Genomic DNA, 13,639 nt, shown 5'->3' with positions numbered 1-13,639 from the left:
GAGTAAGAATTCCACCACCCTCTGTTCAGTGGGATTTTCTAGTTAACCTTCTCATTTGTCTATCCCCTGCCACTGACTGGTGGCCTTTCATCTGTCCTCCCACCTCAATGTGCCCCAGGGTTTGTCTTCTCCTTTGCCCTAAAATTGTATATGATTTCCTAAAACTGAGCTCTAGGCTGCCAAAGTTTGCTCGACTTCACCTGACCTAACATGAAAGCGACTCCCTGGGTGCATGCGTGCCTTCTGAAACTCAGTGACTTCCTTATTGTTTTTTCTGCCAGCTCAACCATGCATTTAAAGGCTCCTTTAGGGGAGGAGAGGGAAACAGGGAGTGACTGCTTACTAGTTGCAGGTCCTCCTTTAGGGCAAATGAAAATGTTCTGGAAGAGGGTGTCATAGTTCTTACCTTGTTGGGCACTGGGGATTGGCATAGCAATGCTGCAAAACTCAGGTACCATAGGTGCATGTCAGTATGCCCATTTTTTTACCCCTTTATTGGGGGATCATGAGTATCTTTCCATGTACTTCATGGCCACGATGGAGTCAGATCCAACCCAGTGGCTCTATCTTCTAACATAGTACCTGGTATATGAGGTCTGCAAGCTTAATATGCCTACTTCTTCCCTTCAGGTAGGCATCACTGTTGAGTGTGTCTACAATACCAGTGACTCTGTCTTGTATTTGGTGCATCTTATCAGCTTCACTGGCGGTTTCTTTACGCCCAACAACCTAGTTACGGTTGAGTATCTAGTTAGGTTTATTTCATGGTTAGAGATCGAGCAGTCTAGCCTCAAGCAGATACCTGCCATTCTCCAACTTTCTTTTTCGCCCCCAAAGGGACTATTTATCCCTTGTTCTCTGTGTCGAAGCATTTGCTGTAAAACCATGGAGATGTTAGCCAATCCACATCCACTCATATCTGATCAGATCTTCTTTCTCTACCTTTGTCATAAACTCTGAGAGCCTTGACTGTGTTGGGTCAAGGCTCTGGAATGGATTCTTTAGTCACAACTCGGCAATCTCAACTTCTCGTGACGGAGTGTAATGATACCAGGATTAGACTGACATTGAAACTGACAGGTGTGGGAGGCTCACGGGGTTTAGAAATTGGTCAAGGGAAAAGATAACCAAGGGGTGGCAGTTGCACACATGCTTTTTTGGGTGGCATTTTCACAGGTTTGTGTGTGGGGCATGTCTCTTACAGCAGGAGCCTGGCCAGGGGCTACAGTGTGTGGGTCCCTACTCAGGAGGACAGGAAGATGGGGAACCCCTGCAGAGGTGGGGTAGAATTGAAGAGGCAACCTGTGTGTGTGTGTGTGTGTGTGTGTGTGTGTGTGTGTGTGTGTGTGTGTGTGTGTGTGTGTGTAGGCGATACCACTCAGTACAGTGGGGAGGAAGATCTCCTGGGTCCGAGAGCTCCAAAGGGCAGTAGCACCTTGCAGTCATCTTGACCCTGGGGACTTACCTATTGCTGGCAGATGTTGGGAGCAGTTCTGCGAGGTATGCAAAGCGGGCAGGCTCTACATGGCTAAACATCTGCTTATTTGGGCTGTGTTTAAAACAATTGGTTGTATAAAAAACTTGAGTCTGAAGCCAGTGGGCTTTATGCGCTAACAGATTTCAGCCTAGAGTGAAAAAATAACCTAGGGGCTGTCTTTGGCTCATTTATATACTAACAAGACAGAACAGAGTACATCATAACTTAGATTTCTTTTCAGCAGCATACAAGACCACAAACAGCCTGTTTGCTTATTATAACAGTTGCCTCTTCATTAGGAGTCCTTATACGTATCAATGACATACCTCCAAGGAGTATAATCATTGTAAATACAGCCAATTGCTATACAGATTATTCTAACATAGAGGAGTTTCATATACAACAGCATATCTTGTAAGAGACCACAAGTCTAGATTTCCAATCTGCATAGGGTTGACAATTTCAAAAGAAACACTCCCCTCCAAAGTTTCTGTATGATACTCAATTCTCAACCTATATGCTATTTGCTAATCAGGGATAACTTTTACCATAAGAATGTTGCCTTTTAACACAACTGATGTTCCACCTTAACAGAACCTAGAAATTTGCCAAGATCAGTCGACAAGGCCATTGACCCAGACAGAAAGAGTTCAGACTTATCGTTGATGGCCTATCAGAAAGGAGCTTCTATCACACCACAGGAATTGTCTAGGATGTTAGCTTTGGATGAATTGGCATTACTGTGTGGTTTGATTGTCTGATTCCACATCTATTTTTAGATCTCATATTTCTTGTGCCTCAAAATCCCTTCTCTGAAGTCTGCCTTCCCTGGAGAAGCAAGATGGCAGAATCGGATTCTACTGACTTTGACCTGCTGTGGTATCTAGAGAATCTCAGTGACAAGGAATTTCAGAGTTTTAAGAAGTATCTGGCACGCAAGATTCTTGATTTCAAACTGCCACAGTTTCCACTGATACAGATGACAAAAGAAGAACTGGCTAACGTGTTGCCAATCTCTTATGAGGGACAGTATATATGGAATATGCTCTTCAGCATATTTTCAATGATGCGTAAGGAAGATCTTTGTAGGAAGATCATTGGCAGACGAAACCGTGAGTGGGGTCACGAGAAGGGTGGGCAGAAATCAGGGCACTTCACAGGAAGCTGGGTGTTGGGCCTTTTTTTTTTTTTTTTTCTAAATAGGTTTCTGGGAAGCAGGTGGTATTTGAGTACATGAGTAAGTTCTTTAGTGGTGATTTCTAAAACTTTGGCATCCCCACCGTCTGAGCAGTGCACACTGTACCCAGTGTGTAGTCGTTTATCCCTCACCTCCCTCTCACACTTCCCGCCGAGTCCCTGTAGTCCAATGTATCATTCTTATGCCTTTGCATCCTCATAGCTTAGCTCCCACTTAAGAGAAAATACAATGTTTGGTTTTCCACTCCCGAGTTACTTCACTTAGAATAATGGTCTCTAATCCCATCCAGCTTGCTGCAAATGCTATTATTTCGCTTCTCTTTATGACTGAGTAGTATTTGTGTGTGTGTGTGTGTGTGTTCATAATTTCTTTATCCACTTGTTGATTGATGGGCATTTGGGCTGGTTCCATATTTTTGCAATTGCGAATTGTGCCACTATAAATGTGTGTGCATGTGTTTTTGTATAATGACTTGTTTTCCTCTGGGTAGATACACAGTAGTGGGATTGCTGGATCAAATGGTCGTTCTACTTTTAGTTCTTTAAGGAATAGTCACACTGGTTTTCATAGTGGTTTACATTCCCACCAGCAGTGTAAAAGTGTTCCCTTTTTACCACATCCATACCAACATCTATTTTTTAAATTTTTTTTTATCATGGCCATTCTTGCAGGAGTAAGGTGGGATTGCATTGTGGTTTTGATTTGCATTTCCCTGGTCATTAGCGATGTTGAGCATTTTTTTCATATTCATTTTTTCAAGGACTATCAGATACTGGCCATTTGTGTATCTTCTTTTGAGAAGCATCTATTTGTGTCCTTAGTCCACTTGTTGATGGAATTGTTTAGCTTGGTGGTTTTGATACATGACTTTTCCATCCCCAAAGAACCAGTCTTCAGAACTGGACATCACATGAGGACCAGGGATAGATTGGATATGGGTCATGTTCTATTTTGTGGCTTTATGATCCTACCTTTATTTTCTGTTATTATGCAAACCAGCTTATATGAAAGTAGCCAGCCAAAGGATTAGACTCAAAGAAAGTACTTGAGCTAGAGCAGATTTCCCAGCAGAGAGCTCTGTCCTAGAACCATAAGATCCAGCTACAGAAAAGTAGGGGCTCTGTGTAAAGATCATGGAGGGTTAACAACCGGGTACGCTCCTACCATAAGACCCAGCTACAGAAATGTAGGGGACTCTGTGTAAGCGTCATGGAGGGTTAACATTTTGGGTACACTCCTATGCAGGTCGTCATCATTGGCTCATTTAGTCCCTCCCGAACATCTCTAAAATAGATAAAATCATGTATTCCAATTGAAAACCTGAATACCTGAGGGGTTAAGAGAACTTACCAAGATCATGAATACCACACTAAAATGGGATGTTGAAGTCTACAGCTGTAATTGTGTTAGAGTCTCTCTTACATAAAGCAATTATTAGAGCTAAACTGAGGACTCCAGTGTTGGATGCATATATATTTACAGTTGTCACATCCTCTTGCTAGATCAACCCCTGTATTACATAATGACCTTCTTTGTGTCTCATTATAGTTTTTGTCATGGAATCTGTTTTGTCTGATATAAGCATAGCTACTCCTCTTCTTTGGCTTCCAATGGCATGGAATATCTCCCTCTTATTTTCAGTCTATGTGTCTTATAGGTGAACAGTAGATCTTCTTTAGAATGAAGAAGTAGTTTGGTCCTCAAATTCCTCTAATATTGAAGACAACTTTTATACAATATTTACTTGGTTAAACTCGTATCTTCCCAATTAAATAGTATAGCATGTCTTCACTCATCGTTATGACTCACAGGCTTCTGGCCTTCCTTTGCTATTCTCCTCCAACCCATGGCTTATATATACTTTATGGAGTCAAGGCTCATAACCTCGACTATTGATGGCAATCACAAGTATCTTTTTGTTTAGGCTTCTTCTATATTTAAAGCTATACCTGGCTTATCACATACCCCTGTCCCTGATGTGATGAATAATTCATTTCATTGCCTTAGTTAACTGGACTTCATTGTTGCTTCCTCCATCTCTGCCTCTGAGAAGGATTCATGAGTGAATTCCTTAGTGAACTCCTTAATTTTATGTCTAAAACTCTTTGCATGTCTTTATACACAAATGGGAACTTTACTGGACGTAATACTCTCCAGCCACTCCTTTTTAATATTGTATAAATTCCTTCTGTGTCTTCTGGCACTGAATATGTTTGGAGAAATGTTAACCTGTTAAGATTTGTTTTCCTTTTTCATGTTTATTGCTAAATTCTTTTTTTTTTTTTTTTTGAGATGGAGTCTTGTTCCATTGTCCAGGCTGGAATGCAATGGAACAATCTCGGCTCACTGCAACCTCCACCTCCTAGGTTCGAGTGATTCTCCTGACTTAGCCTCCTGAGTAGCTGGGATTAAGGGTGCCCACCACCACACCCGGCTCATTTTTGTGTTTTTAGTAGAGATGGGGTTTCACTATGTTGGCCAGGCTGGTCTTGAACTCCTGACCTCAGGTGATCCGCCCGCCTCGGCCTCCCAAAGTGCTGGGGCTACAGGCATAAGCCACCGTGCCCAGCCTCTTGCTAAATTCCTGAATAATTTCTTTATCCTTAAAGTTTAAAAGCTTAATAGGGGTGCATATGAATGTTCTTTTTAAAACATTTGTCACCCATATTTACATACTCCATAATTACAAGGATTTTTTTTTGTAACCTGAATTTGATCTTTCTGTCTATGTTCTCTATTTTGAGGCCATACATTTTTCTTAGACCTTTTCCTTCCATACCTACATGCTTCTGGCTTTATTGTGATGTAATTGACAGATACAAATTATGTATACTTAAGGTGTACAACTTGATGTTTTGATATACACTGTAAAATAACAATCCGTGGGGACTCTTGCTCACTCACCATCTCCCTGTGGTCAGGAGCCTTCCTGGGCCGTGTGCCAGTCCTGGGCTGGTGGCTGTCCTGTCTCACTCTTCTGTTCTCCGTGGGTTGTGTGGCTTCCTTGATGAATCCCGTGTGTCCTAGATAATCCAGTTGAAAAGCTGGTGTTGCTGCTCTGTTCTCTCTCCATGAGAGCGGTGCACACTACCAGCTTCTGGTCTACCATCTTCTCTAACCATGCCTCACTTCATATTTTAGATATTTTAAAAATTACACTTTAAGTACCTTGACATGGTGGTAAACTTGTTTTCCTTCCTTGAGTGTTTTCTTCCAGAATTAGTAATTTTTTTTTTAGTTGCATGGTTATCCTGTCATTCACTTCTCTTTTCTTATCTAGCTCAAGCTTATGGACAACTGTGTCCAAAATGTATAGCTTGTCCTGGTATAGTGTAAAGCAGTGGTCCCGCACCTTTTTGGCACCAGTTTCACGGAAGACAATTTTTCCATGGACTAGAAGGGGTGGAGATGGATGGTTTGGGGATAATTCAAATGTATTACATTTATTATGTACTTTATTTCTATTACATTGTAATATATAATGAAATAATTCTACAACTCGCCATGATGTAGAATCACTGGGAGCCCTGAGCTCATTTTCCTGCCACTAGACAGTCCCATTGGGGGGTGATGGGAAGCAGTGACAGATCATCAGGCATTAGATTCTCATAAGGAGGGTGCAACCTATATCCCTCCTATGTGCAGTTCACAATAGGGTTCACGCTTCTGTGAGAATCCAATGCTCCCACTGATCTGACAGGAGGCAGAACCCAGGTGGTAATGTGAGCGATGGGGAGCGGCTGTAAATACAGAGGAGTGCTCAGTCACTCACCACTCACCATCGGCTGTGGGGCCCAGTCCCTAACAGGCCACAGACTGATATCAGTCTGGCGTAAAGTCTACTGAACATGCCTCCTAGGCCATGTTGTAATCTCTTATTACCCTTTACATTTTTACCACTATCTACTGAGGGTTTCAATGAGGGGGAAGTGAACCCAAGTTTGAGAGAAGGCTTTCCTGGAGACCATGGCTGTGTCCTCCATGGTGACCCTTTAAATGTCAGTAGCAGGGCTGAGTCCACTCAGTGAGTTTCTCACTTCCATGGACATTGCAATGTCTTTCCCCTCCTCCTCTGCCCAGGGCCCTGAGAAAATAGAAATCCTTCCTGCTTCTCTTGATCATCTTATTCTCAAGACTGTTGTGCTGTCCCTTCCTCATGAGGTACATGCTCACCTGCTCTGTTTACTTCTCTCCAAATTGCAGATATTTAAGAGAATATCAGATATGATTTCTTTTCTTCACTTTCTTCACCCAGTACCTCTTCTGGGATGGCTCGACATATCGCAGTAGTAATTGCAAAAGGTCTTAGTACTTACATAGACTGCTCCCAGTGGAAAACAAAACTCAAATGGAGCTTTGGAATTTGGGACAGGAAATTGGTAGATGCCTGATGGGCCTTGAAATTTTCAGTGGGGAAAGAAACTACAAGTCAAGTAATTAAAGGGTAGAGGAAACTACAGGTCAAGAAACTACTTGACCTGTAACTTTCCTCTGCTTTAAAAAATTTTTTTTCCCAGGCTGGAGTGCAGTGGTGCAATCTTGGCTCACTGCAACCTCTGCTTCCTTGGTTCAAGTGATTCTCCTGTCTCAGCCTCCCGAGTAGCTGGGATTACAGGCGCCTGCCACCATGCCGGGCTAATTTTTGTATTTTTAGTAGAGATGGGGTTTCAGCATGTTGGCCAGGCTGGTCTCGAACTCCTGACCTCAGGTGATCTGCCCGCCTTCGCCTCCCAAAGTGCTGTGATTACAGGTGTGAGTCGCTGTGCCTGGCCACCCTCTACCATTTTAATAAGTTTTCAACATGCCTTTGACCTTCAGTGGACTTTATCAGGTGGGAACCTGAACTGGTGGAAAGTTTAGCAAGGTTGTTCCTGAAATAACAGTGGAAAATGCACATTATTAACTTGAAGATAAGGAGATTTAGGGGGACAATAAAGATGCAGCCTGGTGGTGGTGGTTTTGCTCATCATAAAAGGTGACAAGGGAGAAATGGACTGAAGAATAAACTTAAGGTTTTGAACTAAGTTTATAGAAAATAAAAACGTCCTTGACAGGCTTTTCTGACCACAAAGGATTCTCAAGAAAGAGCTTCAGGGTCCTAGGGTAGTTCTATTTTTCATTTTTTGAGGAACCTCCACATCATTTTTCGTAATGACTCCTCTAATTGACAGCCCCACACACCGTGCACAAGGCTTCCCTTTTCTCCACATCTTCACCCACACTTACCGTTTGTCTTCTTGATAATATCCATTCTAACAGGTGTGAAGGGAATAGCTCATCGTGATTTTTATTTGCATTTCTGATTCGTGATGTTGAATACCTTTTCATCCCCTCTCCTTTTGGGACTGTAATTACACGTATTTTATACTGGTCCTTTGATATTGTATCACAGTTCCCTGATGGTCTGATTGGTTTTGTGATTGTTTTTCCTCTGTGCTTGTTAGGCCAATTCTATTGATCTGTGCTGGTGCCCCCTCATCCTTTCTTCTGTGTGTGCCATCTGCCATTCAGCCATTCCAATGAATTCTTTGTTTTGCATAGTGTATATTTTAAGTTACAGAGCATCCATCTGATTCTTATACTCTATATACCTAATATATGGGGATATATGCATAATATGAAACTTATTATAAAATTACCTCCTAATTCCAAAAGCTGGGTTATCCGTACATATGCTTCTATTCATTTTTTTTTAATTTTACTTTTGACAAATAGTTATGCATACTTATATGGGACAATGTGATGTTTTGATATGCTTCCATTGTGGAATGTTGACATGAAGCTAACAAATCTATTATCTCACATATTTATTCTCTTACGTGTGTGTGTGTGTGTGTGTGTGTGTGTACATGTGTGAAACTGGACAGCTTCTGAATGGCAAAGGGAAATGAGTGAAGAGACTCCTGGATTGGGAGAATATATTTGTAAACTATGTATGATACGGAACTAATATCCAAAGTATATAAGGAACTGCATAACAAGAAAACAGATAACCTAATCAATAAATTGGCAAAAAGAAAAACACCTAAATAGACATCTTCCAAAGATTTTTTTTTCTTGATTATGAATCATGGTTTATAATCATGAACCATACTCATCACCATGGCTTTCTGCTTCTTTGAATCTCAATTTTTTTATTGTATACTAAACGTCATAGATAAAAACAGTAAGGAGAAAGTCCTGTCTCTGCCAGGCTGTTGAGATGTGCTAGGTCGGAACTAGGCAGCCCTGGTAGTCTAGAGGGTGGGATCAGGCCCGTTGATCCATCAGGCTCATCTCCACTGGGGGGGAGCCAGTGTGCCACATTCCAGTACATTCAGGTCCACCACACCAGCCCTGCTGCAGCTGTTCATCATTGGCTTTTATTTATCCCATCAAAGTTCTTCCATGCTGCCAGGCTCCCTCTTTTGCCTGCCCTTACCCAGGGATAAAAACATTTTCAAGTATCTGCTCACTAAGGAAGGAGTCATCCCCCTCTAGGAATTCACTTATTTGGATCATTTCTGTATCATACCTCTATGACAGCTTTATACTTATGTCTTAACATTTTTGTTTGTTTTTGCAGTGGGAGTGCAATCTTGTGTATTCTCAAGAAATAAGACTCCCTTTACGATAAATTTTAACTTTATTCCATACAATTTCATTTATCTTAAGTAGTTCATTAAATGATCAGGATTTCAGTAATGATATGCATAAACAAAAAAATAGAAGGGAAGATGAACGTGTAACTCATGACTGATGGGCCAAGATGTAATAGATACTTTGAGCTGAATACGTACCAGGAAACAGTCCCTGAACTCGAGTTATTGCCTCAAAGGAAAAACTGGGTATGAAATGAAACATAATTGAAGGCTACCTAAAACGCTAAGGAACCCCCAAAAAGGAAAGAAATATGTTCTTGATGCCAAGACATGAGAGGGAAGCCCTTGAAGGATAAAGAACAAAGCTAAAACAGATCTGTCGACTCCACTGTATGAGTTGAATAGGTTTTATTCAACCTTTTTCCTTTAAAGCAATATGGGCCGGGCGCAGTGGCTCATGCCTGTAATCCCAGCACATTGGGAAGCCAAGGCAGGTGGATCACCTGAGGCCAGGAGTTCGAAACCAGCCTGGCTAACATGGCAAAACCCTGTCTCTACTAAAAATACAAAAAATTAGCCAGGTGTGGTGGTGCACGCCTGTAATCCTAGCTACTTGGGAGGCTGAGGCAGGAGAATCGCTTGAACCTGGGAGGTGGAGGCTGTAGTGAGCCCAGTTCGTGCCACTGCACTCCAGCCTGTGCAATAAGAGCAAAACTCCATCTCAAAAACAAGCAACATGATGGTAAATATCTTTGTACCTATATCTTTGTGATAAGCAGTAGTAAGTAAAAATTTCTACTATATTTTTACTGTAAACATGAAAAGAAGCTAAAACTGTTTTTACATCTTGAACTTTCATCTTTGTTCTGTATTTTCTGCCCTGTACTCGCTGGATTAGGCAATCAGGAGGCATGCAAAGCTGTCATGAGGAGAAAATTCATGCTGCAATGGGAAAGTCACACTTTTGGAAAATTTCATTATAAATTTTTTCGTGACGTTTCGTCAGATGTGTTCTACATACTTCAATTAGCCTATGATTCTACCAGCTATTATTCAGCAAACAATCTCAATGTGTTCCTGATGGGAGAGAGAGCATCTGGAAAAACTATTGTTATAAATCTGGCTGTGTTGAGGTGGATCAAGGGTGAGATGTGGCAGAACATGATCTCGTACGTCGTTCACCTCACTGCTCACGAAATAAACCAGATGACCAACAGCAGCTTGGCTGAGCTAATCGCCAAGGACTGGCCTGACGGCCAGGCTCCCATTGCAGACATCCTGTCTGATCCCAAGAAACTCCTTTTCATCCTCGAGGACTTGGACAACATAAGATTCGAGTTAAATGTCAATGAAAGTGCTTTGTGTAGTAACAGCACCCAGAAAGTTCCCATTCCAGTTCTCCTGGTCAGTTTGCTGAAGAGAAAAATGGCTCCAGGCTGCTGGTTCCTCATCTCCTCAAGGCCCACACGTGGGAATAATGTAAAAACGTTCTTGAAAGAGGTAGATTGCTGCACGACCTTGCAGCTGTCGAATGGGAAGAGGGAGATATATTTTAACTCTTTCTTTAAAGACCGCCAGAGGGCGTCGGCAGCCCTCCAGCTTGTACATGAGGATGAAATACTCGTGGGTCTGTGCCGAGTCGCCATCTTATGCTGGATCACGTGTACTGTCCTGAAGCGGCAGATGGACAAGGGGCGTGACTTCCAGCTCTGCTGCCAAACACCCACTGATCTACATGCCCACTTTCTTGCTGATGCGTTGACATCAGAGGCTGGACTTACTGCCAATCAGTATCACCTAGGTCTCCTAAAACGTCTGTGTTTGCTGGCTGCAGGAGGACTGTTTCTGAGCACCCTGAATTTCAGTGGTGAAGACCTCAGATGTGTTGGGTTTACTGAGGCTGATGTCTCTGTGTTGCAGGCCGCGAATATTCTTTTGCCGAGCAACACTCATAAAGACCGTTACAAGTTCATACACTTGAACGTCCAGGAGTTTTGTACAGCCATTGCATTTCTGATGGCAGTACCCAACTATCTGATCCCCTCAGGCAGCAGAGAGTATAAAGAGAAGAGAGAACAATACTCTGACTTTAATCAAGTGTTTACTTTCATTTTTGGTCTTCTAAATGCAAACAGGAGAAAGATTCTTGAGACATCCTTTGGATACCAGCTACCGATGGTAGACAGCTTCAAGTGGTACTCGGTGGGATACATGAAACATTTGGACCGTGACCCGGAAAAGTTGACGCACCATATGCCTTTGTTTTACTGTCTCTATGAGAATCGGGAAGAAGAATTTGTGAAGACGATTGTGGATGCTCTCATGGAGGTTACAGTTTACCTTCAATCAGACAAGGATATGATGGTCTCATTATACTGTCTGGATTACTGCTGTCACCTGAGGACACTTAAGTTGAGTGTTCAGCGCATCTTTCAAAACAAAGAGCCACTTATAAGGCCAACTGCTAGGTGAGTCTTTAAAAAATAAATCCTCTTTCCTGTCTTCCTAAGACCTGCCCATAATTCTAGAGCTTGTTGACCAGAACAAGACAAACTCGGGGCCATGAAGAACTTGACTTCCAATCTAGCTTCTAATTAGACCAGTGACTTAAATCTCTCTGCTTCTGTTTAAACTCAAAGTTTGAGTTAAACCTCAGCACTGTTGAAGTTTTGGGCCAGCTATTCTTTGTGGTGGGGGTCTATCTTGCACATTGTAAGAGGTTTAGCAGTATCTCTGGTCTCTCCTGTGGCCAGTAGGGTCCCCTTTTCCCCGTTTGTGACAGCAACAAAAATCTTATACATCACCAAATGTCTGCTTAGCGGCAGAATTGCCTCATTGCAAACCAGTGGTTTAACCTAATTTCTTCAGATCTGTTGTATAGATTAAAAAGAAATAAACCTTGTATTGTTACATTATAGGAGTATTCATGATAGCACAAAACATGCAACATTGATTTTTAATATTGAAGTTTAAAAATATTTAATAATCTCGCATTTAAAGGCCCTGCACTCAGATGTGTCTTATCAGAATATGGAATCACCAGCTACTTTAATGGATCTGAGTGTTGTTCATTCATGTTTGACCCTACTTTATTTCTTGCTGCATGGTATTAAATCTGAGTCAGACAACAGGCACTCTCAAAACATACTTTAATTTACATGTTTTACAAATTGCTGGAGTTGAATCGATTCCATTGGAAAACTCAATTTTTCTTCTATGTAGTCAAATGAAGAGCCTTGTCTACTGGAGAGAGATCTGCTCTCTTTTTTATACAATGGAGAGCCTCCGGGAGCTGCATATCTTTGACAATGACCTTAATGGTATTTCAGAAAGGATTCTGTCTAAAGCCCTGGAGCATTCTAGCTGTAAACTTCGCACACTCAAGTAAGTACTATATCAACCTCTGCCTTAGAGGTTCCCCTAGGAATAACGGTGGTCTTTTTCTTTCTCTGGGAGAAGACAATATACAAAACACACTTTCAGGTCAGGCTCATCAGGGCCTAGGCTCCTTCTGTACTTCTCAACCATCTTTAGTGTGTCTATGATAAAGATGACCTTAGGCCACAGTAGCATCTGAGGTCCCAGCCATCATGGCTGCCTTCAAGGCAGGAAGCAACAGAAGGGAGAAGGAAAGGTTTATCTAGAAGCTTCAGGAGCTTCCTTGATGGAGTCTTTTCAAAACTCTTTCTTGTATCACTTCTGCTTGCATCTCATTGGCCTGTTTACCTTGTCTTCATACGGCTTCATATAACTACAAAGGGGGACTGGGAAAGTAGTCTCTTGGAATCAGGAAGAAATAGTAACAAGTGGGTTTATCCTAAGGAAGAAAGCAAAAATGGGTCAGGGTAGGAGTCTAACAGTTTCTTTCCTACAGAATGCGTTAGAATCAGGTGAAAAGCAGCTGTACTTGCCTAAACAGTCACTGGGAAAATTAGTATTTATCTGAGTTTATAATAGCTCTATAGGAAATGGCACTAAAATATTCAGTACACATCAACATATATGATCTTAGGATTCTGGAAGCCCAGGAGTTAACTTTATTTTCATTCAAGAAGAATGCCTACTTTGTTTGAGGTGCTAGTCTAAGCACTAGGATATATCAATGGGGGGAAAAAAGACAAATTTCCTTGTTTGCTATCTGATGAGACAGAATATAGGCAGACATAATAAGTACACGCATTTTAAAGTATTTTAGGATAATGGTGTTACGGGGGGAAAAGAATGGCAAGGTCAGGGTGCATAAGTGGGTATTTAGGGGTGTGGGAGGGTACAGGCTGTAGTAATAAGTTCCACAGAGAAAGTGAGATTTGAGCAAAGACTTGAATGAGGTGAAAGAATGAGCCAGATAAACTGTTGGTCATCCCCTGGGATGGGAGGGATCCA

The 13,639-nt window shown here is 41.8% G+C and overlaps 1 protein-coding gene across 8 annotated transcripts in view, besides 3 other annotated features; it reads left to right on the top strand.

The window, feature by feature from the left end:
* The window catches only part of NLRP11 (NLR family pyrin domain containing 11), a 51,177-nt gene that overhangs the window by 16,083 nt on the left and 21,455 nt on the right, over positions 1-13,639 (top strand). For 4 of the 8 annotated variants that reach the window (NR_169621.2, NM_001385453.2, NM_145007.5 and 1 more), the window contains 3 exons: positions 2,257-2,589; positions 10,155-11,724; positions 12,479-12,640. Coding sequence is in view for 5 of the 8 variants with exons in the window: in NM_001385453.2 (NP_001372382.1) it covers positions 2,319-2,589; positions 10,155-11,724; positions 12,479-12,640 (2,003 nt within the window). In the remaining 3 variants the exon portion in view is untranslated. The remainder of the gene's footprint in view (positions 1-2,256; positions 2,590-10,154; positions 11,725-12,478; positions 12,641-13,639) is intronic. The other 4 variants (NR_169620.2, NM_001297743.3, NM_001385451.2 and 1 more) reach the window with 3 other exon arrangements.
* Positions 1,558-1,647: an enhancer, noted in NCBI's record as "active region_15110". NCBI's record gives its function as "activates an Ori minimal core promoter by ATAC-STARR-seq in GM12878 lymphoblastoid cells {active_cell/tissue: GM12878}" and the evidence as "EXISTENCE:reporter gene assay evidence [ECO:0000049][PMID:35858748]".
* Positions 10,696-10,990: an enhancer, noted in NCBI's record as "tiled region #15410; HepG2 Activating DNase unmatched - State 12:CtcfO, and K562 Activating DNase unmatched - State 12:CtcfO". NCBI's record gives its function as "activates a minimal TATA promoter and a strong SV40 promoter by Sharpr-MPRA in HepG2 and K562 cells {active_cell/tissue: HepG2 | K562}" and the evidence as "EXISTENCE:reporter gene assay evidence [ECO:0000049][PMID:27701403]".
* Positions 10,749-10,798: an enhancer, noted in NCBI's record as "active region_15109". NCBI's record gives its function as "activates an Ori minimal core promoter by ATAC-STARR-seq in GM12878 lymphoblastoid cells {active_cell/tissue: GM12878}" and the evidence as "EXISTENCE:reporter gene assay evidence [ECO:0000049][PMID:35858748]".

Source organism: Homo sapiens, chromosome 19 (assembly GCF_000001405.40).
Source record: "Homo sapiens chromosome 19, GRCh38.p14 Primary Assembly".
In the NCBI taxonomy this organism is placed as follows: domain Eukaryota; kingdom Metazoa; phylum Chordata; class Mammalia; order Primates; family Hominidae; genus Homo; species Homo sapiens.
The sequence above is the reverse complement of the archived record's forward strand: the minus strand, read 5'-3'. Positions and strand labels throughout refer to the sequence as shown.